This window comes from Homo sapiens, chromosome 5, assembly GCF_000001405.40.
Source record: "Homo sapiens chromosome 5, GRCh38.p14 Primary Assembly".
Classification (NCBI taxonomy): Eukaryota; Metazoa; Chordata; class Mammalia; order Primates; family Hominidae; genus Homo; species Homo sapiens.
The window spans coordinates 73422760-73437879 of NC_000005.10; the positions used below are offsets into that span (position 1 = coordinate 73422760).

Genomic DNA, 15120 nt, shown 5'->3' on the forward strand with positions numbered 1-15120 from the left:
ATGGATTTACATATATACAATTTATATAATATATACATGGATTAATATATATTCCATGGCCTTGACTAGAATGTCATATCAGTAACAGTGATAATGTGATGATGATCATGATAATGACAGCAGCTAACACTGATTTAGCCTGTATCATCTGCCAGTGCTTTGCATGCATTATATTGCATACTTTTCACGATAAACCTATGAGGTAGATATTATTATTGCCCATTTTACAAATGAGAACACTGTGGCTTAGGGAAGTTAAATAGTTTATCCACCAGGTTATTATGTGGCAGGGGTGGTCTCCAATCATTGGCATATGTATTCCCAAGCCTGTGATCTTAACCATGCACCATACGTAGGCCCCTCTTCATGCATACAGTGTCCCCCAGTGTCTATGAGGGATGACTCTAAATGTTAATTTCCATGCCCCTGGGACCACAGTTCTCTTAACAGAAGAATAAGATTTTGAGTATCAACACTTTCCTTACTGGGTAGAATTATATTTCCATTCTCAACAATGAATTAATTATTGCCTCCCTGTTTCTTTTAAACTAAGGCCTCTTTCCATCACCTGTGACTGGATTCTGTTGTGTGCCTTCCCTGAGCCTGTGTCATTTCATTTGCTACAATGGGAGTGATTGATGGTTCTAATTCTTATTTATTTAATTTTTTAATATATTAGGCACCAGACTGGGAAAATTTACTCACCCCATTTGTCATTCTAAAAAATCTAAGACTAATGAGATATAGAAAAAAAAAAAACTTAAATGGAACAGAGTTTCCCAGGGTCCCCAGTAGGTAGGTGGAGTCATGGCAAGAAATGAACCCAGGGCTTACTGAAGAACTCCAGTGGAAGACAGTGCAGAAACCCGGGTAAAAGGCCAAATGGGCCAGAGTCAGCCTCCTACTATGACAATCTTTGGTGTAAGGAAGTAGATATCCTTCATTCAGAACAAAGAGAACAGGACAGGGATTTGGTTAGCTCATGGGTCTTATGCTTATAAAAATGGAACTGGCAATAGTGGTTCCTCTCTTCTAATTAAATATGCTGCCAAGTTGAGGGACAAATTTGAATTTGGTCAAGTACCTTGAGTACCTCTGAGGAGAGCACCACAGAAAAGGTCTTTTTTTTTTTTCTTTTTTGGAACAGAGTCTCACTGTGTCACCCAGGCTAGAGTCCAATGGCACTATCTCGGCTCACTGCAACCTCTACCTCCCAGGTTCAAGGAATTCTTCTGCCTCAGACTCCTGAGTAGCTGGGACTACAGGCGGGCACCACCACGCCTGGCTAATTTTTGTATTTTTAGTACAGAAGGGGTTTCACCATGTTGGCCAGGCTGGTCTCTAACTCCTAACCTCAGGTGATCTACCCTCCTCAGCCTCCCAAATCCTCCCAAAGGGATTACAGGTGTGAGCCACCGTGCCTGGCCAGAAAACCTCTTTTCTAAAATGACATTGCCTCACTCACTTGCCAGAAAGTGTTTCTTCCCAAATAATGTCACTGATGAACTGAAGAACTTTCAAAGTATGATGGATCCATGTCATTTAGGTAAGCCATTTGTCTGGGGTGCCAAAACAGAATCAATTCTCCACAATTCCTTAAACAACAGGTATCCTTATATGGGCCAGATTTGCCTGAAAAGAACAGAATGACATTGCCCAGTGAATCCCCCAGGCTTCACATTCCAAAAGTGTCCCATTAAATGAATCCAAGCAGTTGCTTCTGAAATCATAAATTCCAAAAGACAATGAAAGTTGCAATCACAAGGGGTAACAGAAGCCAAACACATTAGGAACATGTTCCTTGTGCAAATAGCATAATCCCGGACACGCGGGAACACATGGTTTGCCTCAGACATGTTTCATTTTGTCATCGCATTGAGTGTACAGTATTTCTCTTTGGGTGCAAGAGTGATTGATTTCCTTGGGAGAATTGTTTGTAAGAACATGAAAGTTGCCAAAGCAAACACGTTGGAGGGAAGTGTGGAGAAGGGGAGTAAGAATATTTGGAGTAGATCTGGGTTTGGGAAGTTCATGCAGAGGTGAGACAGTGAGATGTAGAACAAATAAAAACATTCTGCACACTTCATCTACATAAATTATGTTCTGAAATTCACTCTGTGTAGACATTAGCAGTGCAGCTACAACTCTCCCTAGTGTGCCTCCAGAATGTGGGCACAAAGCCAATTTTTAAGTGAATGATTTGTAACTTTTCCTCCAAATAAATTAATCTACTAATATTTAGATCATCCTGATTTTAATCCACAAAAGTCATGTAGTCATTGTAAAAAATATCCAATAATCTATTTGTCTTTTATGATAGAATTATAGTACTGATTTGTATTAATAGATCTGTCGAGATATGTTGACAAAATGGAAAACATTACACATATTTCCTTTGATCTCTTTCTCTACCATAAAAAACCTACCTAAATAAATACAGCGGCATTTATAACATGTGAATTTGAAATGATCCTTTTGGTTATTTACTTTAAATTTTAAATTATGTTAAAGATGAGCATTTTAAGCTTCTATCTACCTATATGAACTTGCTTCTTAAGCGATGTAAATTTATTATAAAATACTCATGACACTTAGATGCTTAAGTGTGTGGTTACAAGGCAGAGTAACAAATGGAATTTGTTTACTCCAATGGGATTTTGTTTTCCATATAGCTATTGTTATAGTGCAAAATGAGAACTTCTGAGAATTAGCAATAGGATACCTAAATAAACATTCCCATTTAAAGATGATTCTGTAAGTAAAACATAAATAATTTAAACCCCAGAGAATAAAGGCTCTTGACCTGGTTCTGTACAGTGCCCAGAATAGCTTCGTTACATGAAGGTTCTCATCATTCACACTAAGGCAGTTTTTCTCAAGTCTCCCCACTGCTGTTCTCCTGCCTAGCTAGTTATCTATTGTGGTATAATAGATTACCCCCAAACTTAGCAGTTTAAAACAACACTTATTATCTCACAGTTTCTATGGGTCAGGAGCTGGGCACGGTTTGGCTGGATCCCCTAACTGGGTCTCTTGCATGACTACAGTCATCTCAAGGCTTGAATTGGAAGGGTCCACTTCTGAGGTCACTCATCTGCTTGGTGGCAGGAATCAGTTCTGTGCTTGTTGACTGGTGGACTGAGGCCTCATTTCTTCCAGGGCTGTTGGCTGGAGGCTTCGCCTCCCTAGGTTCCTTCCCATGTGGGCCTCTAGGTAGATCATCTCACAACATGTCACTTGGCTGCATCAGTGCTAGCATGCAAGTGGGCGAGAGAGTACTAGCAAGGTGGAAGACAGAGTCTCTCGTGACCTGATCATGTAAGTGACACCCCATCACTTTAGCTGTATTTTCTTTGTTGGAGGAAAGTGACTAGGTCCTGCTCACACTCGAGGGGAGGGGATTACACACGGTTTGAATTCCAAGAGGTGTGCATCACTGGGAGCATGTCAGTAGCTGTCTTCTGTATCACTGGTGACTATTAGGGGTATACTTCCTGTGATGGTTAATTTTAGGTGTCAACTTGACTAGATTAAGGATACCTAGAGAACTGGTAACACATTATATCTGGGTGTGTCTGTTGGGGTGTTTCCAGAGAAGACTGGCAGTCTGTGAACTGAGTGGAGGGAAATCCACCCTCTATGTGGACAGGCACCACCCAATCACCTAGAGGCCCAGAAAGAACCAAAAAAAAGCAGAGGAAAGGTGGTTTCCTCTCTCTCTCTCCTGGAGCTGAGACATCCATCTTCTGCTCTTGGACATCAGAACTCCAGGCTCTCCAGCCTTTGGACTCTAATACTTAACCAGCAGCCCCCTAGGTTCTCAGACCCTTGGTTTCAGACTGAGAATTAAACCATCAGCTCCCCTAGTTCTGAAGCTTTCAGATTTAGACTGAGCCATGGTACTGGCATCCAGGGTCTCCAGCTTTTGGACGGCTTGTTGTGGGATTTCTGAGCCTGCATAACCATGTGAGCCAACTTCCCTAATAAATTACCTCTCATCTACCTACCTTTCTATCTGCAGTCATACCTTGGTATCTGTGGGGGACTCAGGAACCTGTTAGAACTGCAGATTTCCAGGCCTACTCAAGATCTACTGAGTCAGAAACTCTAGGATTGAGGCCCAGTATGCTGTGTTCTAAGAAGCCCACCAGATTATTCTGAGCATCTTAAAAATTTGAGAAGTATTGCCTTAAAAACAAAGGGAGCAGAGCTGCCAGGCCTCCCAATTTCCCTCTTACAAGACCAGGATCCCAGTCATGGGAATACTTGCTACTGCTCATGGTTTTAATGATGATGATTTGCAACGTAAACCAGGAGACAGCTTATGAGGGTACATCATGTGGCAAATCTAGAAGAGAATTTTAGTTTTTCTTTACCTGGGATTTCAGTTTTTCAACCTAGTGAACCTCATGCACCTAACCCCAAAGCCTAGTACTTTACATGTTGTGAGGCCAAAAGGAACTAAACAAAGCTTCAGAAAAGCTAATCAGCAGTAGAAACTTCATTGAGTTGTACAAATGCCAGACTTACTAATATACCTTAATTCTCTAAAAGGGTTCTTCTTATACTCTTTACCACTCCCTGCCCCCCACCCAAAAAATATTGTAATGGCCACAACTGTACTCCTAAGGTATAAGGTGGCTAAGAATAGCTAATTATATGTACTAGGTCCTTCTAGTAGGAATGCAAACTGAAGTGAGTTAGCATCATAACCATGGAATGCTATGCAAAATCTCATGTCCTCCCCATTTGTGTTCCTTCTGGTCTCTTTACCATCATTTCAAACTCTTCATCTTTGGGAGGCCTCCACAGTGTCATAAGAAAGAATACAGGCTCTGGAGATGGAAGATCTGGGTTCACATCTAAGCTCTGATACCTAGTACAGTCATGCATCCATAACAATGTCTCAGTCAATGACAGACCACCACTAACAGACAGATATTGATCCCATAAGATGATTAGGCTTTATTGTTATTGTGTCTTTTCTGTGTTTAGATATGTTTAGGTACACTTACCTTTGTGTTACAAGTGCCTACAGTACTCAGTATAGCCATACTGAACAGGTTTGTAGCCTAAGTAGGCTGCACCATATAGTCTAGATGTGTAGTAGACTATACCATCTACATTTCTGTAAGTACACCCTATTATGTTCACACAACAACAAATTTCTCAAAACATAACCCCATTGTTAAGCAACCCATGACTGTACATCTATACTAGTCTATAACTTTTGGTCAGAGCAATCAGCAGTCATCCAACATAGCAGTGCGAATGCCAGGTATCTGAAAGGGTGAATTACTACAACCCTACTGTTCTAGTTGGACAGTGTAGATCCATTAGGCCAACATTTATGGTTAGAGCAATTTCTTATCTTTACTGTTTTGCCTTTGGGTAAGTAGACAAAGCCAATGGACTCCAAATTATTTTATCCACATCATTCACCTGGTAAATCAGTCAATTTATTAATCAGTCAAAATATTTATTCAGTGCTAATTATGTACATGGAATTATGGAAATGTAAAGAATTACAAGGCATGGCCTTACTTTTAAGTAGCTTGAAATATAGTGGAAACTTAATAGTAGACTGAGTAAAGATTGGCACTTCACAAACGCTCATATAGAATTAATACCACGTAAGTAGTGGTCCACATAAAAAATTGCTAGGGATTCGGGAAATGAGTCCTTCACTGGGGGCAAATAAGAGTAACAGCACCCAGGCTCAAGAATCCAGCCACCTGGATTTGAATTCTAGCTCATCCACTTACAGATATATGACAATGGTAAACTGCTTAACCTCCTCATGCTTCAGTGATTCCTTCTTTTTTTTTTTTTTTTTTGTTTTTTTTCTGTTTGTTTGTTTTTTTGGAGACAGGGTCTCACTCTGTCACCCATGCTGGAGTGCAATGGAGTGAACATAGCTCACTGCAGCCTCAATCTTCTCCTTAGCTCAAGCCATCCTTCTGCCTCAGCCTCCCAAGTAGCTGGGACTACAGGCTTGCACCTACACACCTAGCTAATTTTTTGTAGAGATGGGGTCTTACTGCATTGCACAGCCTGGTCTTAAACTCCTGAGCCCATGGGATCTTCTCACTTTGGCCTCCCAAAGTGCTGGGATTACAGGTGTGCACCACCATGCCTGGCCCAGTGTTTCTCTCTTAAAAACCTTGTAGGATGGCTGTGAGAATTAAATGAACTAATTTATGTCACATACTTAACATAGAACCTAGCCTAAAGTACTCCATACATGTTACCTATGTAGTGGTAGCTTTTATGGGGTAATAGTATTCATGAAGAAGAAAAAAGTCTTAGTAGGGTCTTATGAAGACTACAGAGTAAGGAGGAAAAGGTCTTACAGATATGGACTATAACATCAATAGTACAAATTGCAGGAAAATTGTGGTGTTGGCTGGGATAGTAAGTTTGGCCCAGTTGTAAAAGGTCTTGAACATAAGATGAACTTAAGACTTCTTCATGTAATCAATAGAGAATCACTTTCACTTCTTAAGCAGAAGTGTAGCATGATAAAGATGTTTTGCAAAGTTTTAGTCTGCTGCATATATTGGGCAATGGGAAGACTAGAGGTAAGGAGACCAGAGAGAAAAAGGTATTTCAGTGGTACAGGAATAGGGTAAAAGGTGCCCAATCTTTGACGATAACAGTGGGAGTGCAGAAGGGAGAAAAGGTGAGTTTTTGCAGAGGAAGAATTAACTATACTTGGTGAATGACAGGATGTGAGAATTATGCTGCTATTTTTTATACATTCTATTTACAAGTTTAATTTCTGTTCCTTCTTCAAAGGTCATCTAAAATATTACCTCCTCTGGGAAGCTTTCTCTATCCCTCCCAGATAGTTATTTTTCTCTGTCAATCCTGTCAATCAGTTCATATTTCTATGACAACACATCAAGAATTGTTGTATTTCGGTGAGTATACATATCTCGCCACCTCCAACCAGATGTCTAATATTTTTGTATCCACATCACACTATGCCTGGCACACAGTAGGTGCTCACGATAAAAGAAAGAATGAATAGATGATTAAATCTGGGTCTTTGGTTCCCCTTGATCATTTTTTTTTTTTTTTTTTTTAAGAGATGGAGGTCTTGCTGTGTTGCCCAGGGTGGTCTCAAACTCCTGACCTCAAGCAATCCTCCTGCCTCAGCCTCCCAAAGCACTGGGATCACAGGCATGAGCCAACACACCCAGCCTACAATATAAGTATTTTAAGGTGAAGTTTATTTGTATTTTTTTCAACCCTTATGCTACTTTATGGCTATAATGTTATACAGATCCAAGAATCTCAAAATAAATGCCCAATTTTTGACACTTTTTATAGCATTTTATAAGAAGTGGTTTTTCTTTGTTATTAATTTTTCATATATTTTATTGACTTGTTAAATGAAAATATTCATAATTTTTCTAAGAATTTATGTAAGGATATTGTAGAGCAAAGTAATGTATCATACGTTGCTTTTTTAAAATAAACTGTTTTCAAGCAAAAGAAGAACAAAAATTTAATATCATTACTAGAGATTTTTCTATAATAAAACCATTTTGTCAGCTACTCACAATGTAGTTCTTCTGCTCAAGTTTCTTAGAATCTGTGTGGTCTCTTCTGAATTCTTTAAATAGACAGGAGCCCATCTATGTGAGCAGGTAGATGAATGGGTGCAATGAAAGAGGCCAGTCTCTTTCTCCACATATAAATCTCCAAAAATAATAGGATACATGTGTGCAAAAGTGGTAAACCACTAATAATATTTATAACTCCACAATTCCTAGTGGAAATAAAATAATAAAGCAATAAAACATTCGAGGAAAGGAACAAGTACCATGGTTAAAACGTTGGCATCAGGGCTTGAAACTTGTCTGAAACCCAGTCACTCATGATTTGGAATGTTTACAGTAGGAATTTAGATTGTTTTATGTCATGGTCCACTTACAGATCGGCAGGCCAGATCTCATGGGCGGGATCTGTATTAAACCTGTGCCATATTCCTATTGAGCACAAAGACTGAACATGCTCTTCATCATTAGAGACTTTTTGCTACTTAATTGGTGGTAGTACTGGCTGAGTCACCCTTATGCTTTGGTAGAGGGTAAAGGGAGTTAATTATGTGTAGTTTTTAAAAATTTCACTTGCATGGCCGGGCACAGTGGCTCACGCCTGTAATCCCAGCACTTTGGGAGGCTGAGGTGGGCAGATCACGAGGTCAGGAGTTCGAGACCAGCCTGGCCAACACAGTGAAGCCCCATCTGTACTAAAAATACAAAAAATTAGCCGGGCATGGTGGCAGGTGCCTGTAATTCCAGCTACTCGGGAGGCTGAGGCAGGATGGAGGCGGAGGTTGCAGTGAGCCGAGATCACACCATTGTACTCCAGCCTGGGCAACAAGAGTGAAACTCTGTCTCAAAAATAAAAAATAAAAAAATTCACTTGCAGTAGTTCAAAATTATAAAATAGTTAAGATAATGTATATTGCTTTGTCTTAGAAAAAGATTAATAAATGCTATCTTTTAAACATTTGATACCTTGTTTAATATACTACTTCTAAAATAAGCCATATATATATTCAGAAACCATCTTTAAAGCATGACTAAAAAGTGATGCAATTTTTTTTCACCCTTCATCAAACTTACAGGAATGTTCTCCTCTAAGCAATCACCCTGGGAGCACACCAATATCAATAATACTGCCATTCCTGAGGACATCTTGAGAACTCTCCTTTTGTAACCAGTTTACAAGACACACAAGATGATAAATCTTCAAGGATATGTTAGTTTTTGTTTGTTTGTTTTTACTAAATTTGTTCATCCACTTTATTCAACATATTTGACTCAGTGACATTTGGCCATTTGCAAAATTAAATCTACCTTCAAAGAATAAAGTTTTTCAAATGAATGGGCAATTTTTTTTTTTTTTTTTTTTTTTTGCATTTCAAAAAGTTTTCATGATGGGGCTTATTGATAGAAAATGCAATTGAAAATTATCAGTTTTTAAACATTGTTTATAAAGTACCTGTTGCAAGGACAGAGCTAGATAATTACCCTTATTAATTATTGAAAAAGACAATGAAAGCACTTGCCATCAGTGGAGTTTTATTAATGACACAGAAACTGAAGGATCCTTTACCTTTTTTTAACTATTTTTTAAAATAATTATAGACTCATAGGATGTTGCAAAAATAGAGTTCCATACACCCTTCACCCAGCTTTCTCTAGTGGCGACATGTAATTGCAATACAATATCAAAACTAGGAAACAGGCATTATATAACACTGCTTTTTGTGTGCGTGTGTGTGTATTTTTTGTTTGTCTTTGTTTTTGTTTTTGTTTGAGACAGAGTCTCCCTCTGTTGTTCAGGCTGGAGTGCACTGGCGTGATCTCAGCTCACTGCAACCTCCCCCTCCCAGGTTCAAGCAATTTTCCTGCCTCAGCCTCCTGAGTAGCTGGGATTACAGATGCCCACCACCATGCCCGGCTAATTTTTGTAATTTTAGTAGAGACAGGGGCTTCACCATGTTGACCAGGTTGGTCTTGAACTCCTGGCCTCAAGCGATCCACTGGCCTCAGCCTCCCAAAGTGCTGGAATTACAGGCATGAGCTACCGTGTCTTACAGGCATGAGCTACCATGTCCGGCTCAGAAATTGACATTGTATGTCACTGTTTTCTCCCCCCCGCCCCCAAGACGGAGTCTTGCTCTGTTGCCCAGGATGGAGTGCAGTGGTGTGATCTCGGCTCACTGCAAGCTCCGCCTCCCGGGTTCATGCCGTTCTCCTGCCTCAGCCTCCCGAGTAGCTGGGACTACAGGCGCCCGCCACCACGCCCGGCTAATTTTTGTATTTTTATTTTTAGTAGAGACGGGGTTTCACCGTGTTAGCCAGGATGGTCTCGATCTCCTGACCTTGTGATCCACCCACCTCAGCCTCCCAAAGTGCTAGGATTATAGGCGTGAGCCACCGCGCCCCACCGTATTTTCACTGTTAAGTACACTACAGGCCTTACTCAGTTTTTGCCAAGTTTTACATGCATTCATGTGTGTACTGTTCTATGTAGTTTTATCCCATGTGTAATTCAAGTAAGCACCATAACAAGGTAGAGAACTCTTCCATCAATACAAAGGAACTCATTCCTGGTCCCCTCTTACATTCGGACCCCCACCCTTTCCCTGTCCTGTGTAGGCCACCAATCTGTTCTCATATGTACAGTTTTGTCATTTTGAGAATGTTACATAAATGGAAATATGCGGTATGTAACAATTTGAGGTGGACTGTTTTCCCTATATTGCCCTTGAGATTCTATTTGTTGTGCACATCAGTAGTTTATTTCTTTTTATTCCTAAGTAGTATTCCTTTGTATGAATATCCCAGAGTTTTACCACTGAAGGACATATGGGTTGTCTTTTTTCTTTCTTTCTTCTTATTGTTACAAATAAAGCTACTATGAACATTCATGTACAAGTTTTTCTGCAAACATAAATTTTCATTTCTCTGGGATTAATGCCCTAGGACATAGTGGCTGGGCTGAATGGTAAGTGCGTATTTAATTTTGTAAGTAACTGACAAACTATTTTCCAGAGTGACTGTGCCACTTTACATTCACATCAATAATGTAGGAGAGATCCAGGTTTTTTGCATTCTTGCTAGCATTTGGTATTATTGCTATTTTAGCTATTCTAATAGGTCAGTAGTTCTAATTATTTTTGGAAATTGCTGATTCAATGTATTTGGTCTTATGATAATTCAAAAGAGATGGATTTTTGCCTTCACATTGTCTTCCTGGGTATGAACTTCAAGCCTTATTTTATACTGATTTTTAGCTTTAAAATTATAAAAAGATGTGTTCATCACTTCGTTTACCAATGTCCAGCATAAGTGACCAAAAACTCACTTCAGGCTCTTCCACCTGCCCTTATAATTTCTCCCACGTCATAAACATGCCTTTGTCTAAAAATATTGTCCTTCCTGGAAAAAAAAAAGTCCTATTGGCTGCCTTCTGTTTCTGTTGAGGGAAGGAGGACTAATGTTGGGCTGCACTGGTTGCCTCTGGTTGGTCACTCGCAGCATAAATTCTACTGTGAATTCTGGCTTTGTGGCTGGCTTTTGTGGGTGGATTTCTGGGGATGCTAGGAGTGAACAGCACAATCATAATTCTGCAGGTTTGCTCTGTTCAAAGTTAATAGGTCTGTATGGTGACCCATAGATGAGACAAAGTAGAGACTGCTATGTTAGTTGCAAAATGATCACTTTACTTCAAACAGAATTCAAAGTGCCCTTGAGAGGCTGTTGCATTAAGTACTTGCACGGCTGAGGTGGAACACACAGGATACAATTTACTTTCCCCCTCAAGTTCATGCCACTCTTTGTGAAGAGGCCCAAAGTGCTTACTACTAGTCTTAGGGAATGAAATGGCAAGGAGGAAAAGAATCCAATTACAAAACAGCTTGTGGCTTCTGCTCCACTTACATTTACCCACAACTGCATCTTGAAAATGATGTAACTAGCAGTTACTATGTGTAAATCATTTCATTTTATTTACTTATAATCATAAAATTACCTCTGTTAGTTGATAATGAAATGTTGGGGTTTGAGGAGGGTCATATGTTTTAATTTCAGGTTAAGATAAAGCTTTCCAGCATTTGCTTCCCATTCTTTATCTATCTAAATTGACTTATCATTTATATTATTCTATAAATAGGAGTTTGAACAGATGAATATCACAAACATACTGATGAGTAAAAAAAAAGTCAATCAAGAGACTCCATACATATTGTATAATTTCATTTATATGAAGTTCAAAAACATGTAAAACTAACCTGTGGTGAGAGAAATGAGAACAGTGGTTGGAAGTGGAATGACATTTATTGGATACAGGCACAGAGGAGTTTTCTGGGGTGTTTAAAATACTCTGTACCTCTGGTGGCTACACAGGTGCATATATATGGACAATTCACCAAGATGTACACTAGGAGTTGGATACTTTATTGTATCTATGTTATTCTTTAATTAAAAGTTAAGCTAACAACTGAAATGAAAAAAATAAGAGGTTTGGTGATAACATCACAGGCAGAATCGATTTTGGTTTTTCCTCTCAAAGTTTCCAGGAATTTTTACATCTTACAAATTGTCATTTTCTCCAATGCAAATGAACTGCTTTTCTCACCTCTTTCCTCTTCTCTGCCCCTCCCAGTTTCTAAACTAGTTAGATTTATGGTGCAATGTCATGCATACTGTAACTGTGAAATTAAAATATTGTGAAGCAGAGTGTGGAAGCAATAAAACCCTATTAAGATCAGTTTAGGCCTTTAAAAATTCCATGATTCCTTTCACTCACATGACATCTTTCATTCCTTTTTTTGAAGTTTGGATCCAAGGAATTTTGCATGCTGTGGGTTGACATTTAGTTAATAGCATCTTTTGCTGAGGTTCTATTTTCTAAATTAACAAGATCAAGAACAGTGACCTGATGATATTTCTTTGTACATCTGGCTCTTTTCCAAAAAGAAGGATTAAGGGGATGGGGGGCGGGGTGAAGAGAGAGAGAGACAGAGAGAGAGAGAGAGGAAATCAAACCCCTTTTGGTCACCTTTATTTTAGGGCAAAGTTTGCTTCAAATTTTTGTAAAAATATTAGATAACTTCTCATCAACAAAAGGAACAAACAACGCCCTCCCCACACAAAATCTGTAGTTGCAATATGTCTACTATTTCTCTTTTGCTTCCCTGTTATCCTGTGTCTGCAGTTCTTTCTAATGAGCCATGAAAAAGACAAAGAAAAAATACATCTACATATAAACTATGGGGACAGAATCAACAGCTTGCCTAAGGAATTGAACCAAGTCAGGTTTAACTTCTTAAGACAGATTTGGAGATGGACTTAAGAGGGAAGGAAGAAGACTGAGGAGTATAGTAAGAATCTGTCTGTCTAGTCACACAGTAGGTGCTCCACACACATTTCTTTTAAAAAAAACTGGTAACAAAAAATACACATTATTTACGCAAGCGAGGAACTCCTACAGCATAATGTTTGGCCAAGATAGTGACTTCAGGATGGCACCCGACCCACTTTCCTCTCATTCCCAAATGCTTACTTGGAAATTCCATGTTGCTAAAAGTGAGGACGAGGAGAGGGAGGAGCTGGTAAGTATGTGAGAAATACGGAAGACAGATGGAGAGGAAAATGTGTAGCCTACCGAATGCAAAAGGATGCTTTCCAAGACAGAAGGAGGGAACTAGGCGCCTTTTTTCCACTCCGCTGACCCCAACGTCTGGGCTGTGCGTTGTAACGCAGTTGGCGGGGCCTTCAGCTTGGGATGAGGGCGAAGGGGCTCGGGATGGGTGGGAAAGCAAGGACCGGGCAACAGGTGGGGAGGTGGCGGACTTTTGTCTCGGGGAAGGAAATCGGCTGTGCTGAAAGGGCGGAAAGCAGTAGCGCACAGAACTAGTGTCTGCGGGGTCCCGGGCGCTCTCGCCTTCGCCCTGGGCTCCTCTAATTAGAGAGGGGATGCAGGGTGGCATTAGTTCCCAAACGTTTTAATCGAGCCTCTTTTCAATGGCCAGGGATAAATGTAGCCACTGTTACTCTGTGCTGAATGGGTCGCAAAGGCCCCCGCCCGGCCCCCAGCGAGGCCATTCAGGCGTCTTTTCACAACCCCTAAGCGGTTCAGTCCCCGGGCCTAGCGACACTCCAGAGCGCTCCTAATTAGTCTAATTAGAAAGGTGGATTGATAGATGGAAAGAAGACAGAGTTGGGTTAGGAAGATGCTCAATGCTGCCAATCTCGGCTGGGTTGCCGCTTATTCTCTGCGTAAAGAAAAGGCCGCAAAGAAGGAAGTTGGAGCCGAAGCCCGCGCTGGGGCTGGGCTCTGGCCGGATCGCAGGCTGGGCGGTCTTTGACCCCCCGCGCCTCCCGCCCACAGCCGGAGCCCGGCAGCTGGAAGCACCCGCTACCCCGGGGAGCGTCTCCAGGCCGCGGTCTCCGGCCTTCGCCGAGCGAGGCGGGCGGGAAGGTAGGGCCGCGGTGGAGCGGGCACGGCCTCCCGCCCCAGCCCGGAGCCTCTCCGCCCCGCCGGGCCCCGCGGCCGCCCCTTCCTCACCCGGAAAATCGTGGGGAGGCGCGGCGTAGCGGCCGGACCCCTGGCCTCCGCGTCGGGCTGCGCCACGTGGCAGCTCCCAGCGCCCTCCCGTCCCGGCCTCGCATGCTGTCGGGGGAGCGCCTCGTCCCACTCAGGCCGAAACCCCAGGAAGGAAATCACTCTGGGCTGGGGACGCGGCCTTTCTGCTCGCGGCTGTTGGGTGATGTGCCCGAGGTTTCTCTGCCCTTCTCCGGGCGCAGGCCGTTCATTCGCGCCGCCGCTCCTGAGGGTCGCTGGGCGCAGAACCGCCTCGGCCGCGGCCCGGCCTTAGGCGCGGCCTCGCGCATTCCTGCGCTCGCCACAGCCGGCGGGAGGCGGGGAAGGGAGCAGCCCGGGTGGCTTGGAGAACACTGAACCTTTAATTGGGCTATAAATCAGACAGGGGAGTGCGGTGGAGTTTATGCAGGTGTAAAAACAGAGGGGAAAGCCCGGGCCGAGCAGCCAAAGCGCCCGGGCAGGTCAGAACCTCCAGCAAACTAACATCTTGATAAGTCCGCTGACAACAAAATAAACAGTGGAGAAGGCTGGAGGGCGGGGGGCGCCGTGGCCCGCGGCTGGTTCGCAGCAGCTCGGCGGCCTTCTGCGAGGGGAAGGCGGGCCGCTCTCGGCTTTGTGCTTGGGGCTTTAGGAGGGGGGCGGTTGGAGGAGAGAGAGAAGCCGAATTATCTCCCTTTCCGCGTCTCATTCCCGTGGATGGAGGGCCCCGGGAGCGTTTGACGATGGCAGTTTGGGGCGTGCGCGCTGCCTCGTCGGCCCCTACGACGTCAGGCGCCGGAGCTGCCGGGGCCCCGGGCGAGCGGGCAGCGGCCCCCGCGTCCCTCCCGGACACAGCGCCACCGAGAGGCCGAGCCTCCCGCTCCTGTTGCCATTTCAAGGGCTGACGCCTGGAAAACACCGCCAGGCCCCTGGCCGAAGGAGGTAACTAACCGAGTCGAAACGGCGATCAGAAATTAATTCAGTGCCCTGCTCAGGAGCAAAACCGTCAAA

At 42.6% G+C, this 15120-nt stretch overlaps 1 annotated feature.

Moving 5' to 3' along the window:
- Positions 12863-13766: an enhancer, noted in NCBI's record as "H3K27ac-H3K4me1 hESC enhancer chr5:72731449-72732352 (GRCh37/hg19 assembly coordinates)". NCBI's record gives its function as "activates a minimal SCP1, AML or CMV promoter by ChIP-STARR-seq in naive H9 embryonic stem cells {active_cell/tissue: H9 hESC(naive)}" and the evidence as "EXISTENCE:reporter gene assay evidence [ECO:0000049][PMID:30033119]".